This window comes from Homo sapiens, chromosome Y, assembly GCF_000001405.40.
Source record: "Homo sapiens chromosome Y, GRCh38.p14 Primary Assembly".
In the NCBI taxonomy this organism is placed as follows: Eukaryota; Metazoa; Chordata; class Mammalia; order Primates; family Hominidae; genus Homo; species Homo sapiens.
The window spans coordinates 6413534-6430597 of NC_000024.10; the positions used below are offsets into that span (position 1 = coordinate 6413534).

General features: G+C 46.3%; 1 long non-coding RNA gene across 1 annotated transcript in view; it reads right to left on the reverse strand.

The window, feature by feature from the left end:
* Positions 1–14911, reverse strand: part of TTTY2B (testis expressed transcript, Y-linked 2B) — a 22201-nt gene extending 7290 nt beyond the window's left edge. Inside the window, exons 1-3 of the long non-coding RNA NR_003590.1 lie at positions 14707–14911; positions 8795–8872; positions 6232–6318 (exon numbers count right to left, since the gene is read on the reverse strand). This is a non-coding gene — a long non-coding RNA (testis expressed transcript, Y-linked 2B). The remainder of the gene's footprint in view (positions 1–6231; positions 6319–8794; positions 8873–14706) is intronic.
* Between the last annotated feature and the right edge of the window lie 2153 nt (positions 14912–17064).

Consider the following 17064-nt stretch of genomic DNA (forward strand, 5'->3'; position numbering starts at 1 on the left):
AAACAAGAGGCAAGTGTGGAGGCCACATGCCACCCAGTATCTATCGATTGCCCTCCCATTATGCTTCAGATATAAAAGCCCTCAAATTGGGAGATTGTGAGGATGGCCCCAGTTTGCACTCCAAATATTCCCTGAACGTTGGAGTACTCCCACCTGAACAATGGGGATTGTGTGGACTGCTTTTGCAACTAAAGGAATTTGGCAATGCAGTTGGAAACACCTTCTGTGTCATCTGTTTTAAACTTTTTTGCAAGCTAAGGTGTGGGACCCCATACACCCCTCAGCAGATTGTATCCTCACCCCTAACTGTTCTTTTTGCTGCTCACACTCTCTGTTCCAGAAAAAAAATCCCAAAACGATGGAGGAGTTGCCCCTCATGACATGTAGAACCTGCTCTCCTGGGAACCAAATTCTAGGTAAATTCAAAGGGTCTTGTGAACAACACTGCTATTGTCTCTCCCTGGGATGGCCACAGAACAATGAAAAACATTGTGATGTCTATTCTTAGGTGTGGTTTTCTCCTGTTCTTTCCTGAAGAGTGACACTTTTGCAGGTGGAGGGGACTTGGACCCTAGCAGGTCATAGCCAGCCTCTCAATTAACTGCATTCATGATCCACAGAAAAATAAAGAACACACATACCAAGTAAAACAGCAGAGACAAGTCACCAAAATTTTTGGAGACTCAAAAAAAATGCTATAGTGCAATAGCTACATTCCTTTAAGCAGACTCCACTTACAGACACACACATGCACACACACACAAACACACAATGCCACAAACACACATGCAGATTTTGAACATTTGCAACACTCCCACAGAAACATACAGCCTGGTCTCGCCTGAAGCTGTGTGGTTCTGCAGGAAACCCCACATGGCATAGAGCAACAATGCACAACACAAGGGGGGCTGTAACTAGAAATCACAGTGGGGCAAGTTTCAAAAACACACCCCTACAATGTCTAGGCAGGCCTGAGGAATCCACTTCTGCCCTCTCCTAGGATTGTGGGACTATGCCATGGATTTCACAGAGAATAAAAGCAGAGTCCACTGCAGATGCACCCCCATGAAGGTCTCCTTTTTCCACCAAGCCTCAGGGCCTTGTTGCTAGGCAATGATAACATTCATTGTGATGCTCAAAAGAGCTCACAATCAGGTCTGGTGCCCCAAGACTAGTGCAAACACATTCATGAGTTAGGTTCACTTACCTGGCTGTCAGAGCTGTTAGCCTGCCTAACCAAGGAAAATGGTACAGCAGAACCTGCCTGGTATCAGAAAAAAAGCAGCCTGTGAAAACCCATTGCTGGACCCAAAAAAGTCTCCATCTCTGGGCCCCTTCGTCCGTCTCTGTGATCGGGTCCCATTGGAGGAGAAGGCATTTTGAGATTGTGAGGTGGTCTCTGGAAACTGCTGTTCTGACTCCATTCCCAAAAGAGAATGTGTGTCAGAATCAGGTCCCATGGAAATTGGTTTATAGTCTGGCGTGCTGTTGAGGGGTTTTTGGGTGATAGAATCAGACTTTGTTGAGGGTTTTTTGGGTAAAAGAATCATACTTGAAACCCCAGAGGCGGCACTTGACCTGTTCTTACACCTCAGACTGGCCTCTCAAGGGCACAGATGACATTGAAACAGTGTCTCAGATGTCATCTGTGGTGATGGCAAGGGTGAACAGTATGTGCAGTAGTGCAGTTGGGGGACACTGTGGATCCCCCATGAAAGCAAAGAAAAATCTAGGCTCGCATGAGAGAACAAGCTGCCTTGTGCTGGAGTACAGGCAATGTTCAACGATTCCTGTCTGAGGACGCAAAAGCCTCCCACAAAGTGCAAAGAACCTCAGCCCCCAGAACGAGACAACAATCACAACATGGAGCCCATCCAGCATACACAAAGTCCCTTTTGCTGTCTAAAATTCCTGGCAGTTAATTAAACTGTAGAGAGAGGGAGTCCCATCCAGGAACAGCCCAAAGAAACAGCCCTCCCACAATGAGAAGGCCGTGAAGATGAAATAAAATAGAGACTAGATTACCAGGCAAAAGCTAGACATGTTTGCCTGCTTCTTATCCTTCAGAAATCGTGCAGCTTTCTGATGCAAGTGGGAGAACAAGGGTTTCTTTGTTGGTGACTGTAATACAAATTTACAGTTTTAAAAATATTAAAGCTGTGCAGTCATTAAAATGTGACAATGCTTAGAAACCAACACTCACACAATGGATTCCAGTGAGGGTCATTCTTCATGAACTGGGAAATGTTTAGTGTGGAAGTTGTTGAGCCAGACCCAGGAAACCCTAGGCCAATGAGGCGCATGGAAGAAAGGAAAAGAAGAGGCAAGTGTGAAGGCCACATGCCACCCAGCATCAATACATTGCACTCCCATTTGCCTCCGTGTATGAAAGACCTCAAATCCAGAGTTTGCCAGGATGGTCCCAACTGGCACTTCCAATATTCCTTGCACATTGCAGAACTCCCACCTGAACATTGGGGCCATGGTGTGGACTGTTTGTGCAATTAATTAAATGTGAGTACAGACGTAGAATCACCTCCTGCATCAATTGTCTTCATTTTTATTGCATGGGAAGTTGTGGGACCCCTTCCACCCCTCATCTAATTGTATCCTCACTCCAGTCTCACCTTATTCCTTCTCACACTCAATGTCCCAGAATGAAAACCTAAGACAATGGAGAAGGGACCCTTCATGATTTGAAGCACCTGCATGGCTGGAAACTGAATTTGTGGTAAATTCAAGGGCACCTGCAGACAGGACTTTAATTGCCTCTCCCTGGGTTGGAAGCAGGGCAATGAAATGTGGCAGATGTCAATTTTTCCACTTTTTGTGGTGTGGTGTGTCCTTCTTCTTTCTAGAAAAGTGGACTTTTTTTTCAGGAGGAGGTGATTTGGATGCCAGTGGATCCTTGCCCGCCTCCCAATTCACTGCGGATTCACGATACACAGAAAATTTAAAAACATGGAGCCCCGCAAGCCAAGCAGAGCCACACATAAAGGCCAAACAGAAGGTTTGGAGACACAGAAAAAGAAGCAGTGAAGTGTGATAGCCACATTTCTTTAAGCAGACTGCACATACAAGCACAAACACAGAGACACACAATCACACAATGCCACACACATACACAGACTTTCAACACTCACAACACTCCCACAGAAACACACAGTCTGGCAGCCTCTGAGGTTGTGTGGTTCTGCAGGAAGCCACACCTGGCATAGAGCAACCCTGGGGAACACAGGCGAGCTGTAACTAGAAATCACATGGGGGCAAGTTTCAAAAAAACTCACACCTACATCTAGGCAGGCCTGAGGTAAACAGCAGATCCTTTTGGATTCCTAAAGATTTTGCAGTTTATTCCTGGGACTATGCTTTCATTTCCTCACACTGTCTCTCATCTGAAATCTCCTAGGATCATGGGACTATCCCGCGGATTCTGCAGAGAAGACAGGTGACAGTTCACCATGGACAAACCTCTACGGAGGTCTCCTTCTCTGACAGGAGGCAGGGACTTGTGGCTAGGCAGTGGTGATATTTTTGGGATGCTAGCCAGAGCTCACAGTCTGACCTGGAGAATAGTGCATGTGCATTCATGAAGCAGGCTCGGGCACCCAGCTCTTACAGCTGTCAGTCTGACTAGCAGAGAAAAATGGTAGAGGCAGAGCTGGCATACTATCAGAAAAAATGCTGCCTGTGAAAACCCACTGTGGGTCCCCAAAAGTCTCAACCTCAGGGCCCCTTCAGGCAGCCTCTGTGGTCGGGTCCCACTGGAGGAGGATGCATTTCAAGACTGTGAGGTTGTCACTGGAATCCACTCTTCCAGCTTCATTCCCATAGGAGGCTGTGTGCCAGAATCGAATACGATGGGGTGTCAGTGAAAGATGGCCAGGCTTTTGACCTCACTGTCTCCCTTCATCCTGGGCCTTGCAGGGATTCTTTGAGAAAGGAAGGAACCATGAAAAAGCCAAGTCCAATGTGAAACAGTACTTTGGACTGGCCTCTCATGGGTGCAGATAAAATTGAGACCATGTCTCAGAGGTTGTCTGTGGCAATGGCAAGCCTGAGAAGAGTGTCCAGTGGTGCTATTGAGGGGCACTGTGGATTCAACATGAAAACAAAGAAAAATCAATGCTCACCAGAGAGAATGGGCTGCCTTGTGATGGAGCCCAGAAATTTTCAATATTTCCTGTCAGAGGACCCAAAACCCTGCTGCAAAGTGCTAACAACCTCAGTCACCACAATGAGAAAATGACCCAAAACCTATAGTGCAGCCAGCCTACCCAAAGACCTTTTTGCTTTATGAAATCCCTGGCAGCTAAATAATTTGTGGTGAAAAGCAGTCCAATCCAGCAGCAGCCCAATAAAAAATCACTTCCACAATCAGAAGGTGGTGCAGATGAGATGAAACAAATGCTGGATTACTGGGCAAAAGCCAGACATGGCTGCCTGATTTTCATTCTTCAGGAATCATGCAGCCCTCCAATAGAAGAGGGAGAACAGGAGTTTTCTTGCTGGCAGCTGTAATGGGAATTTATTGTTTTAAAAGTATCTAAGATGCCCAGTCATTAAAACATGACTGTTTAGAAGGAAACACTCATGCAATGGATTCCCATGAGGGTGATTCTCTGTGAACTGGGAAATGTTTAGTGTGGAAGTCATCGAGCCAGTCACAGTAAACCCTCAGCCAATGATGGACATGGAAGTCAGGAAAAGAAGAGGCAAGTTTAGGGGTCACATTGCACACAGCATTAATGCATTCCACCCCCATTTGGCTGAGATATGAAAGCTCTCATGTGAGAAGTTTGCCAGAATGGCCCCAATTTGTATACCAAGTGTCCCTTGAAGGTTGAAGTAATTCCACCTGAAACCAGGACATGGTGTGGACAATTCCTTTGCAGGTGAAATTGTGGGACTCTATCCACCCCTCAGTAGATTATATACTCACCTCTATCTGACCTTATTGCTGCTCACATTCTATTTCACAGGATGAAATCCCAAGACAATAGAAGTGTGTCCCTTCATGATGTGAAGCATCTGATTGAATTCGAGGTAAATTCAAGGGGCCTTGAAGACAGGATGACTAGTGTCTCTCCCTGATTTGGCCACAGGATGAGAAAACACTGGGATATGTTTGTTTGTGTGTGTGTGTGGTGTGCTCCTCTTCTTTCTAGAGAGGGCCTTTTTTTATTTCAAGGGGAGGTAATTTGGATGCCGGGGGGTCTCAGGCCACCTCCCAGTTCACCATGGATTCATGATCAACAGAAAAATAGAGAACATGGAGCCCTGCAGCTCCAGCAGAGCCACACAAGCCAACAAAAGATAGGAGTCTCAAAAAAAAAAGAAATGCTGGAGTGTGTTAGCCCCATTCCTTTAAGCTGACTCCACTTACAGGCACACACACACAAACACACACAGACACAAACACACATGCAGACATCCAACACTTGCAACACTCCTACAGAAACACACAGCCCAGCAGCTCTAGAGGCTGTGTGGTTCTTCATGAAACCCCACCTGGGAGACATCAATCCTGGGGAACAACTGGGGGCTGTATCTAGAAATCACAGTGGGGCAGTTTCTGGAAGACTAATTTCTACAATATCTTGGTGGAACTGAGAAATCCTGCAAATACTTTTGGATCTTTGGGGATTTCACAGTTTATTCCTTGGGCTATGCTTGAATTTTTTCAGGCTGGCTCATGCCTGCCCTCTCCTAGGATCATGTGTCTATCCCATGGATCCCACAGAGAAAACAAGCAAGAGTACAACACCACTGCACCTTCACAGAGGCCTGTTTCTCAGCTAAGTAGCAGGGACTTGTCACTAGGCCACGGTGACATTTAATGTGATGCTAGCCAAAGCTCACAATCAGGCCTGGTGCCCTGAGACAAGCATGTGCATATTCGTGATGTCAGCGTAGGAACTTGTCTGTCAGAGCTGTCAGCCTGCCTTAGCAGAAAAAAATGGTACAGGCAGAGCCAGGTTGGTATCATGAAAAAGGCTGCTGGCAAAAATCCACTGTGGGATATTAAGAGTCTCAACCTCAGGAATGCTTTGGGCCATCTCCGTTGTCAGGTTTCTCTGGAGAAGGAGGTGTTTCATGACTGTGAGTGAGTCTCTGGAAACTGCCCTTCTGACTCCATTCTGAAAAGAGGCTGTGTAAGAATCAGGTCGCTTGGGGATTGGAATATAGTCTGGTATGTTGTTGAGGGTTATTTTGGTGATAGGAACTTACCTGAGAACCCAGAAGTGGGTGTCAGTGAAAGATGGCTGGGCTCTTGACCTCACTGTCTCCCTTCATCCTGGTCCTTGCAGGGCCTCTCTGCAAAAGGCAGGAACCACGACAAAGGATAGTCCACAGTAAAGCAGTGTGCTGACACCTGGGGCTCACAACTCACAGGTGCAGATGAGGTTGAGACAGTGTCTAAGAGGCTGTTTGTGGTGATGGTAAGCCTGAAAATGGTGTCCAGTACTACTGTTGAGGGGCAATGTGGATTCCCCATGAAAGCAAAGAAAAATCAATGCTCACCTGAAAGAATGAGCTACCTTGTGATGGAGTCCAAGCAATGTTCAATGACTCATATCAGAGGGCTCAAAAGCCTCTGACAAAGTGCAAACAATCTCAGTCCCCACAACAGGACAATGACACACAACCTGGACTCAGCCAGCCTACCTGAGGTCACTTTGGTTCTCAGAAATCTTTGGCAACCAAATAATCTGTGGCAAGAGGCCGTTCCATCCAGCAACAGCCCAATGAAAGAGCCCCTCCGCAATGAGACTGCAGTGCAGAAGAAATAAAACAGAGGCTAGATTACCAGACAAAAGCCAGAAATGGCTGCCTGCTTCTCATCCTACAGGAATCCTGTAACCCTCTGGTAGAAGTGGGAGAAACAAGAGTTTCCTTATTGGTGGCAGTAATGGGAATTTATGGTTTTAAAAGTATCAAAGCTCCCCAGTCATTACAACCTGATAGTGTTTAGAAGGAAACATTCATGCAATGAATTCTCATGGGGGTTGTTCTTCATGAACTGGGAAATGTTTAGTGTGGAAGTCGTTGAGCCAGACCCAGGAAACCATATGCTCATGAGAAACATGAAAGTCAGGAAAAGAAGAGGCAAGTCTGGAGGCCACATCCCACCCAGCATCAATCCATTCCACCTCCATTTGACTCCAGGTAAGAAAGCCCTCAAATCTGGAGTTTGCCAGGACGGCCTCAATTTGCACTCCAAATGGTCTTTTACTGTGGAGTACTCCCAACTGAACAGTGGGCCATGGTGTGGAATGCTGGTGCTTAAAGTAATGTGGAAATGGAGTTGAAAGCTCCTTGTTTGTCATCAGTATTCATATTTTTTTACAGGTGGGGTTGCAGAACCCCATCCAACCCTTACTAGATTGTATCCACACCCCTATCTGACTTTATTTCTGCTTACACTCTATTTCTCAGGATGAAATCCCAAGATGATGGAGGCTTTCCCCCTTATGACATGAAGCACCTGCTTGGCTGACAACTGAATTCGAGGTTAATTCAAGGGGCCCTGTGGACAGGACTGACAGTGTCTCTCCTTGGGTTTGCCTCAAGATAATGAAAAACTAGGAGTTGTCTGTTTTTGGTGTGGTTTGCTCCTCTTCTTTCTAGAAGAGTGGCTTTTTTCACAGGGGTGGTGATTTGGATGCCGGGGTATCTCAGCTGCCATTGAATTCACTGTGGATTCATGATCCACAGGAAAATGAAGAACATGGAGCCCCAAACCCCAAGCAGAGCCACATAGACTGGCCACAAAAAGGTTGGAAAACTAAAAAAAAAGAAGCACTGATGTGTGTTAGCCATATTCCTTTAAGCAGACTGCACTTAAAAGCACACACACACAGACACACACCAACAAGCACACAATGCCACACACACATGCAGACATCCAACACTTGCAACAGTCCCACAGAAACACACAGCCTGGCAGCTCCTGATGCTCAGTGGTTCTGTAGGAAGCCCCACCTTGGAGTGAGCAACCTCGGAGAACAGAAGAAGGATGTACCTAAAAATCACCTAGGGGCACTTTTCAAAAATTCTCACCCCTACAGCATTTAGGCAGGCCTAATGAATCCTGCATATCATTTTGGATTATTAGGGATTTTGCAGTTTATTTCTGGGGCTCTGCTTGAGGTTTCTTCAGGCTGAATCATGTCTGCCCTTTCCTACATTCATGGGACTATTACATGTTGCTGGCAATGGTGACGTTCATTATGGTGCTAGCCAAAGCTCACTTTCAGGCCTGGTGCTCTGAGAGTGGTGCTTGCTTGTTCATGAGACAGGTTGGGCACCAGGCTGTCAGAGCTGTCAGCCTGCCTAAGCAGAGGAAAAGGTTACAGGCAGAGATGGCCTATTGTCAGGAAAAAGGCTGCATATGAAAACCCTCTGCAGGACTGTTAATGTCTTGACCCCAGGGCCTCTTCCAGCTGTATCAGTGGTTTGGTCCTGCTGGAGGAGGAGGCAATTTGAGATTGTGATGGGGTCTTTGGAAACTGCTCTCTGACTCAATTTTCAAAAGAGGCTGTGTGGAAGAATCAGATAGCTATGGGGACTGGAAGATAGTCTGCAGATGAAGGGAAACAGAGCCTAGATTACAAGGCAAAAGCCAGACATGGCTGCCTGGTTCTCCTCCTTCACGAACCCTGCAGCCCTCTGATAACGGTGGGAGAACAAAAGTTTCCCTGTTGCTGGTTGTAATAGTAGTTTATGATTTTAAAAGTATCACAGAAACTCAGTCATTAAATCGTGACAGTGTTTACAAGTAAATACTCACACAATGCATTTTTATGATGGTCTTCTGTGAACAGGGAAGAGTTTAGTGTGGAAGATGTTGAGCCAGATCCAGGAAGCCCTACACCAATGAGGACAATGGAAGTCAGTAAAAGAGGACACAAATGTGGAGGCCACAACCCACCCAGCATCAATCTATTCCACTTCCATTTGACTACAGGTATTAAAACCCTCAAACCAGGAGTTTTCCAGATTGGCCACAATTTGCACTCCAAATTTTTCCTGCAGGTTGGAGTACTCCCACCTAAACACCAGGCCATGTTGTTGACTGATTTTGCAATTATGGGAATGTGGGGATGGAGTTGGAAGCACATTCTGTGTCATCTATTTTCACCCTTTTTGCTGGTGAAGGTACGGGACCCCATCCACCCTTCACCAGGTTGTATACTCACCCCTATCTGACCTTATTGCTGTCACACTCTCTGTACCAGCATGAAATCTCAAGATGATGGAGGATTGCACCCTCAGGACATGAAGCACCTACTTGGCTGGGAACTGAATTCTAGGTAAATTAAAGGGGCTATGCAGACCAGAGTGCTAGTGTCTGTGGGTTGGCTGCTTTATAATGCAACACTGGGAGATGTCTGTTCTTGGGTGTGGTGCTCTCCTCTTCTTTGTAGAAGAGTACCTGTTTTTTTGGCAGGGGCAGACGATGGGGAACCCGGCTGGTCACAGACAGCTTAACTAGTCATTGCTGATTCCTGATCCACAGAATTCATTTACATACACACACACAGACACATACACAAACACACAAAGCCACACACACATGCTGACATCCAACACTCGCAACACTCCCACAGTAACACACAGCCCAGTAGCTTCTGAGGCTGTGTCATTCTGCAGAAAGCCCCACCTGGGAGAGAGAAACTGCTGGGAACACAGGAAGGCTGAAGTTGGAAATTACAGTGGGACACATTTCAATAAGACTAACCCCTACAATGTCTAGGCAGGCCTGACAAATTCTGCAGATCCTTTTGGATCTGTAGTGATTTTGTGCTTCATTCCTGGGGCTCTGCTTGACATTTCTTCAGGCTGGCTCACATCTACCCTCTCCTAGGATCATGGAACTGTCCCATGGATCCCACAGAGAAGACAGGTGACAGTGCACCACCATTGTACCTCCACAGAGGTCTCCTTCTCTACCAAGCCAAAGGGAATTGTTACTAGCAAAGCTGGCATTCATTGTGACACTAGCTACAGCTCACAGCTCAGGTCCATTGCCCTAAGACTAGCACATCCACATATAGTGACTCAAACTGGAGCACCAGGGTGTCAGGGCTGTCAGCCTGCCTAAGCAGAGGAAAATGGTACAGGCAGAGCTGGCTTGGTATCAGGATAAAGGCTGCCTGTGATAACGCATTGCAGTACCCTAAAAGTCTCAAACTTAGGGCCCTTATATGCCATCTCCATGGTCAGATCACATGGGAGGCAGAGCCGTTTCAAGACTGTGAGGTTGTCTCTGGAAACTACTCTTCTGACTCCATTCCTGAAAGGGGTTTTGTGAAAGAATCATGCCCCATGAGGATTGAAATATATTCTGGTGAGATGTTGAGCAGTCTTTGGATGATGGACTTATACCTGAAATACCAGAAAAGGGTGTCAGCAAAAGATGGCCTGGCACTTGACCTCTCTGCACTCATTCATCCTGGGTTGGGTAGGTGCTATCTGGGAAAAGCAGGAACCAAGACAAAGGCAAGTCCAAATTGAAACAGTGTTCTCATACCTCAAACTGGCCTCTCACAGGTGCAGATGTGGTTCAAACAGTGTCTCAGAGGCCATCTGTGGTGATGGCAAGCCTGAAAAGTGTATCCAGTAGTGTGGTTGAGTGGCAATGTGAATCCCCCATGAAAGCCAAGAAACATCAAGCATCATCTGAAAGAACGAGCTGACTTGTGCTAGAGTCCAAGCAATGTACCAATATTCCTGTCACAGAAATAAAAAGCCTCTTTCAAAATGCAAACAACCTCAGACCCCACAACAAGACAATGACCTAAAACCCGATGTGCAGCCAGTCTACTCTATAACCATTTTGCTTCCTGAAATCCCTGGCAGCCAAAATATCTGTGGCAAGAGGCATACCCATCCATTAACAGCCCAATGAAAGAACCCATTCACAATGAGAAGGAGGAGCAGATGAAATGAAGCAGAGGCTAGATTACCAGGCAAAATCTAGACACAGCTACATGCTTCTCATAATACAAGAATCATGCAGCCCTCTGAGAGCAGAGGGAAAAGAAGAGTTTCATTGTTGGTGGCTGTAATGGGAATTTAGTTTTAAAAGCATCAAAGCTGCCCAGTTATTAAAACGTGACAGTGTTTAGAAGAAAACACTCACTCAGTGGATTCCCATGAGGGATGTTCTCCATGAACTCAGAAATGTTTAGTGTAACAGTTGTTCAGCCAAACCCAGGAAACCCCAGGCCAATGAGGAACATGCAAGTGAGGAAAAGAAGAGGCAAGTTTGGAGGCCACATCCCACCCAACATCAATTCATTCCACTCCCATTTGGCTCCGGGTTTGAAAGCCTTCAAATCAGAAGTTTGACAGGATGGGCCGGATTTGCACTCCAAATGTTCCTTTCACATTGCAGTGCTCCAACTTGAACCCACATTATGGTGTGGACTACTTGTGTAATTAAGGGAATGTGGGGGTTGAGTTGGAAGCACCTTCTGTGTCATCTGTCTTCATGTTTTTTTTGCAGGTGAAGTTGTGGGGCTTCATCCAACCTTCACCAGATTGTATCCTCACTCCTACCTGACCCTATTCCTGCTCACCCTGTATGTCCCAGGATAAATGCCCAGACGATGGAGGAGTGCCGTCTCATGACCAGAAGAACCTGCTTGGCAGTGAACTGAATTCTTGGTAAATTCAAGGGGCCATGAGGACAGGACTGACAGTGTCTCTTTCTTGGTTGGCCACAGGACAATGAAACACTGGCAGATGCCTGTTTTTTTTTTTCTTTTTTTTTTTTTTTGTTTTGTTTTGTTTTGGTGTGGTGTGCTCCTCTTCATTCTAGAAGAGTGGCTTTTTTTGCTGTGGTAGGTGACTTGGATGCTGGTAGGTCTCAGCCCGGCCCCCAATTCACTGTGGATTCATGAGCCACAGGAAAATAAAGAACATGGAGCCCTGCGGCCCAAGCAGAGCCACACAGACAGGCCACCAAATTTGTGAGACTCAATTAAAAAAAGAAGCACCAAAGTGTGGTAGCCACATTCCTTAAGCAGACTCCACTTACAGGCACACACAAACACACACACAAAAAAAACAAAGCCACACACCCATGCCAACATCCAACTCTCACAACACTCTTTCAGAAACAGTTTGTCAGCTCCTGTGGCTGTGTGGTTTTGCAAGAAGCTAATGTGGCATAGAGCAACCCCAGGCAATACAGGTGGCCTGCTCCTAGAAATCACAGTACTGCAAGTTTCAAAAAGACTCACACCTACAAAGTCTAGGCAGGCCTAAGGAATCCTTCCGATTTTTTTGGATCCTTAGGGATTTTGAGGTTTATTCCTAGTGCTGTGGTCGATGTTTCTTCAGGCTGGCTCTCATTTGCCCTCTCCTAGGCTCATGGGACTATCCTGTGGTTTCCACAGAGAAGACAGGCAAGAGTTCACCAACCACGCAGCTCCACGTAGGCCTTTTTCTCTGCAAAGATGAAGGGACTTGTTGCTAGGCAACAATGACATTCATTGGGATGCTCACTAAAGCTCAATATCAGTCCTGGTGCCCTGAGACTTGTGCATGCACATTCGTGAGGCAGGCCCAGGTGCCTGGCCATCAGACCTGTCAGTCTGCCCAAGCAGAGGAAAATAATACAGGCAGAGCCAGACTGGTATTGGGAAAAATGCTGCCTGTGAAAACCCACTGCAGGATCCTAAAACTCTCAACCTAAGGCCGCCCCTTTCTGGCCACCTCTCTGGTCAGGTCCTACTGGAGGGAGAGGCATTTCCAGACTGTGAGGTGGTCACTGGAAACTGCTCTTCTGAATCCATTCCCAAAAGAGGCTGTGTGCCAGAAATGGGTCCCATGGTGATTGGAAAATTGTCTGGTGTGTCGTTGAGGGTTCTTTAAGTGATAGAATCATACCTGAGACCCCAGGTGTGAATGTCAAAGAAAGACAGCCTGGCTCTTGACCTCATTGCCTCCCTTTATTTTGGGCCTTGCAGGGGCCCTCTGGGAAAAGCAGGAACAACAACAAAGGCAAGTCCAAGGTAGAGCAGTGTTCTCATAGCTCATACTGGCCTCTCACAGGTGCTGATGAGATTCAGTGTCTCAGAGGACATCTGCAGTGATGGCGAGTCTAAAAAGGGTGTCCATTAGTGCTGTTGAGGGGCACTGTTGAATCCCAGTGAAAGCAAAAAAAAAATAAAAAATAAAAATATGAAGGCTTGCCTGAGAGAACAAGCTGCTTTGTGCAGGAGTTCAAGCTTTGTTGAATAATTCCTGTCAGAGGACCCAAAATCCTCCTGGAAAATGCAAACAACCTCAGCTCCCACTATGAGACAAGCATCACAACCTGGAGTGCAGCCAGCCTAACCAAAGTCCCTTTTGCTCTCTGAAATCCCTGGCAGCCAAACAGAGGCTAGATTACAAGACCAAGGCAGACACGGCTGTCAGCTTCTCACTTTTCAGGTATCATGCATCTCTCTGATAGTAGTGGGTGAACACGAGTTTCCTTATGGCAGCTGTAACAGGAATTTATCGTTTTAACAAATTCAAAGCCATGCAGTCATTAACACATGACAGCGTTTAGAAAGAAAAATTAATGCAATGGATTTTCATAAGTCCCATTCTCCATGAATTCTGAAATGTTTAATGTGGAAGTCGTTGAGCCAGACCCAGGAAACCCTAGGCCTATAAGGAACATGGAAGTCAGGAAAAGAAGAGGCCATTGTGGAAGCCACATCCCAGACATCATCAATCTATTCTACTCACATTTGACTCTGGGTATAAAAGGCCTCAAATCCAGAGTTTGCCAAGATGGCCCCAATTTGCAGTCCAAATGTTTTTTGCACATTAGAGTACTCCCACCTGAACACTGGGCCAAGGTGCAGACAGATTGTGCAATTAAGAAAATGAGGGGATGGAGTTTGAAGAACTATCTTTGTTACCTGTCTTCATTATTTTTTTTTTTTGCAGATGAAGTTGCAGAACCCCATCCACTCCTCACCAGATTTTATCCTCACCCCTATCTGAACTTTTCCCTGTTCACATTCTAGGTCCAAGGATGATATCCCAAGATGATAGAGGAGTTCCCCATCATGACATGAAGCACATGCTCAGCTGGGAGCCAAATTCTATGTAAATTCAAGGGGTCCTGCATACAGGACTGCTAGTGTTTCTTTCTGGGTTGGCCACAGAACACTGAAACACTGGGAGATGTCTGTTTTTTGGTGTGGTGTGCTTCTCTTCTTTCTAGAAGTGTGTTGTTTTTTTTTGTGTGTGTGTTTTTTTGTTTGTTTGTTTTTGCAGGGGGAGGTGATTTGGACATTGGCGGGTCCCAGCCCACATCCTAATTTACTGCAGATTCATGATCCACAGAAAAAAAATAACACAAAGCCTCGCAGCCGAAGCAGAGCCACAGAGACAGGCCAACAAAAGGTTGGGAGATCCAAAAAAATGAAGCTCTGGAGTGTGTTTGCCACATTCCTTTAAGTAGACTCAACTTACAGGCACACATAGACACACACAAACACACTCATACACAAATACACAATACCAAACACACACAGACATCCAACACTTGCAACACTCCTGAAGAAACACAGCACTTGGTAGCTTCTGAGGCTGCATGGTTTTGCTGGAATCCCCATTTGGGTGAAAGCAACCCGGGGGAACATGTGGGCTGTAACTAGAAATCATAGTGAAACAAGTTTCAAGAAAACTCACCCTTACATCATCTAGGCAGGCCTGAGGAATCTTGCGATCTTTTGGATCCTTAGGGGTTTTGCCGTTTATTCCTGGGGCTCTGTTTGATGTTTCTTTCAGCTGGCTCATGTCTGCCCTCTTGTAGGATCATGAGACTGTCCCAAGTATCCCACAGAGAAGACAGGCAAGAGTCCACAGCTGACATGCCTACAGCGAGGTCTCCTTCTCCCTCAAGAGGCAGGAACTTGTCTCTAGGCAATGCTGACATTCATTGTGATGCTAGCCAGAGTTCACAATGAGAACTGGTACCCTGAGACTAGTGCATATGCATTCCCGGGGCAGGTACAAGTGCATGGCTGTCAGAGCTGTCAGCCTGCCTAAGCAGAGAAAAAATGGTACAGGTAAAACCGGTCTGGTGTTGTGAAAATGTTGCCTGCTAGAAGCCATGGTCAGACTCTACAGTCTCGACCTCAGGGCCCCTTCAGGCCATCTGCATGGTTGAGACCGGCTGGAGGAGGAGGCATTTTGAGACTGTGAGGTGGTGGCTGGAAACTGCTCTTCCTACTCCATTCCCAAAGGATGCTTTTTGCAAGAATCGGGTCTCATGGGAATTGGAATTTGGTCTGGTGTGTTGCTGAGGGTTCTTTGGGTGAGAGAATTATACGTGAGACCCCAGAGATGGGTGCCAATGAAAGATGGCTGGGCTATTTACCTCACTGTCTCTCTTCAGCCTGGGCCTTGATGGGGCCCTCTGCAAAAGGCAAAAACCATGACAAAGAGAAGTCCAACATGGGTCAGTGTTCTCACTTCGGTCTGGTCTCTCACGGGTGCAGATGAGGTTGAGACAATGTATCAGATGCCCTCTGTGGTGATAGCAAGCCTGAAACTGACCAGCAGTGCATTTGTAGGGTACTGTGGATTCTCTATGAAAGAAAAGAAACATCAAAGCTCACCTCAGAGAATGACCTGTTTTGTGCTGGAGTCCAAGCAATGTTCAATGTTTCCAGGCAGAGTACCCAAAAGCCTCCTGAAAAGTGCAAACAACCTCAGTACTCACAATGAGACCAAAAACCACAACCCGGAGGGAGTCAGCCTACCTGAAGTTCTTTTCATCCTTGAAATCCCTGGCAGCCAATAGATCTGTGGTGAGAGGCAGTCCCATCCAGCAACAGCCCAGTGAAAGACCTTGTATACAAAGAGAAAGGACTTGCATATGCAATGAAACAGAGGCTAGATTTCCAGGCAAAAGCCCAACATAGTTGCCTGCTTTTTATGCTACAGGAATCATGCATCCCTCCAGTAAAAGTGAGAGAATAAGAATTTCTTTGTTGGTGGCTGTAATGAAAATTTACAGTGTTAAAATCATCACATCTGCCCAGCCTTTAAAACGTGACAGTGTTTAGAAGAAAACACTCATGCATTGGATTCCCATGAAGGTCGTCCTCCATGAACTGTGAATTGCTTAGTGTGGAAAGTGTGAAGCCAGACCCAGGAAATCCTAGGCCATGAGGAACATGGAAGTCAGGAAAAGAAGAGACAAGTGTGCAGGGCACATCCCACCTACCATCAATACATCCCACTCTCATTTGGCTCAGGGTATGAGAGCTCTCAAATTGGGAGTTTGTTAGAATGCCCTCAACTTGCACTCCAAATGTTCCCTGAACATTGTATTACTCCCACCTGAACACCGGGCCATAATGTGAACTGCTTCTGCAATTAAAGGAATGTGGGGATGCAATAGGAAGCAGCTTCTGCGTCATCAGTCTTCACGTTTTTTTTGCGGGAGAAAGTGCGGGAGTCTATTTACGCCTCACCAGATTGTATCCTCACCCATATTTTACCTTCTTTCTGCTCATACTCTCTGTCCTAGAATGAAATCACAAGTTGATGGAGGAGTGCCACATGACGACATGAAGCCTCTGCTTGTCTGGGAACCAAATTCAAAGTAAATTCAAAGGGCCCTTCAGATAGTTCTGCTAGTTTCTCTCCCTGGGTCTGCCGCAGGACAATGAAACACAGAGATATTTGCTTTGGAGTGTGATGCGCTGTCTCCTAATTCACTGAGAATTCATACTCCACGGAAAAATAACGGAGATGGAGCCCTGCAACCCAAGCAGAGCTACACCAACAGGCCACCAAAAGGTTTGGAGATTCAAAAAGAGGAAGTGTTGCCGTGCGTTATCCACATTCCATTAAGCAGACTCCACTTACAGCCACACACAAACACATAAACACACACACACACACACACAAACACACAAAGCCACGCAGATATGCAGACATCCAACACTTTCAACATTTCCACAGAAACACACAGCACGGCAGCTTCTGAGTTTGCGTGCTTCTGCAGGAAGCCCTAACTGAAAGAGAGGAACTTTG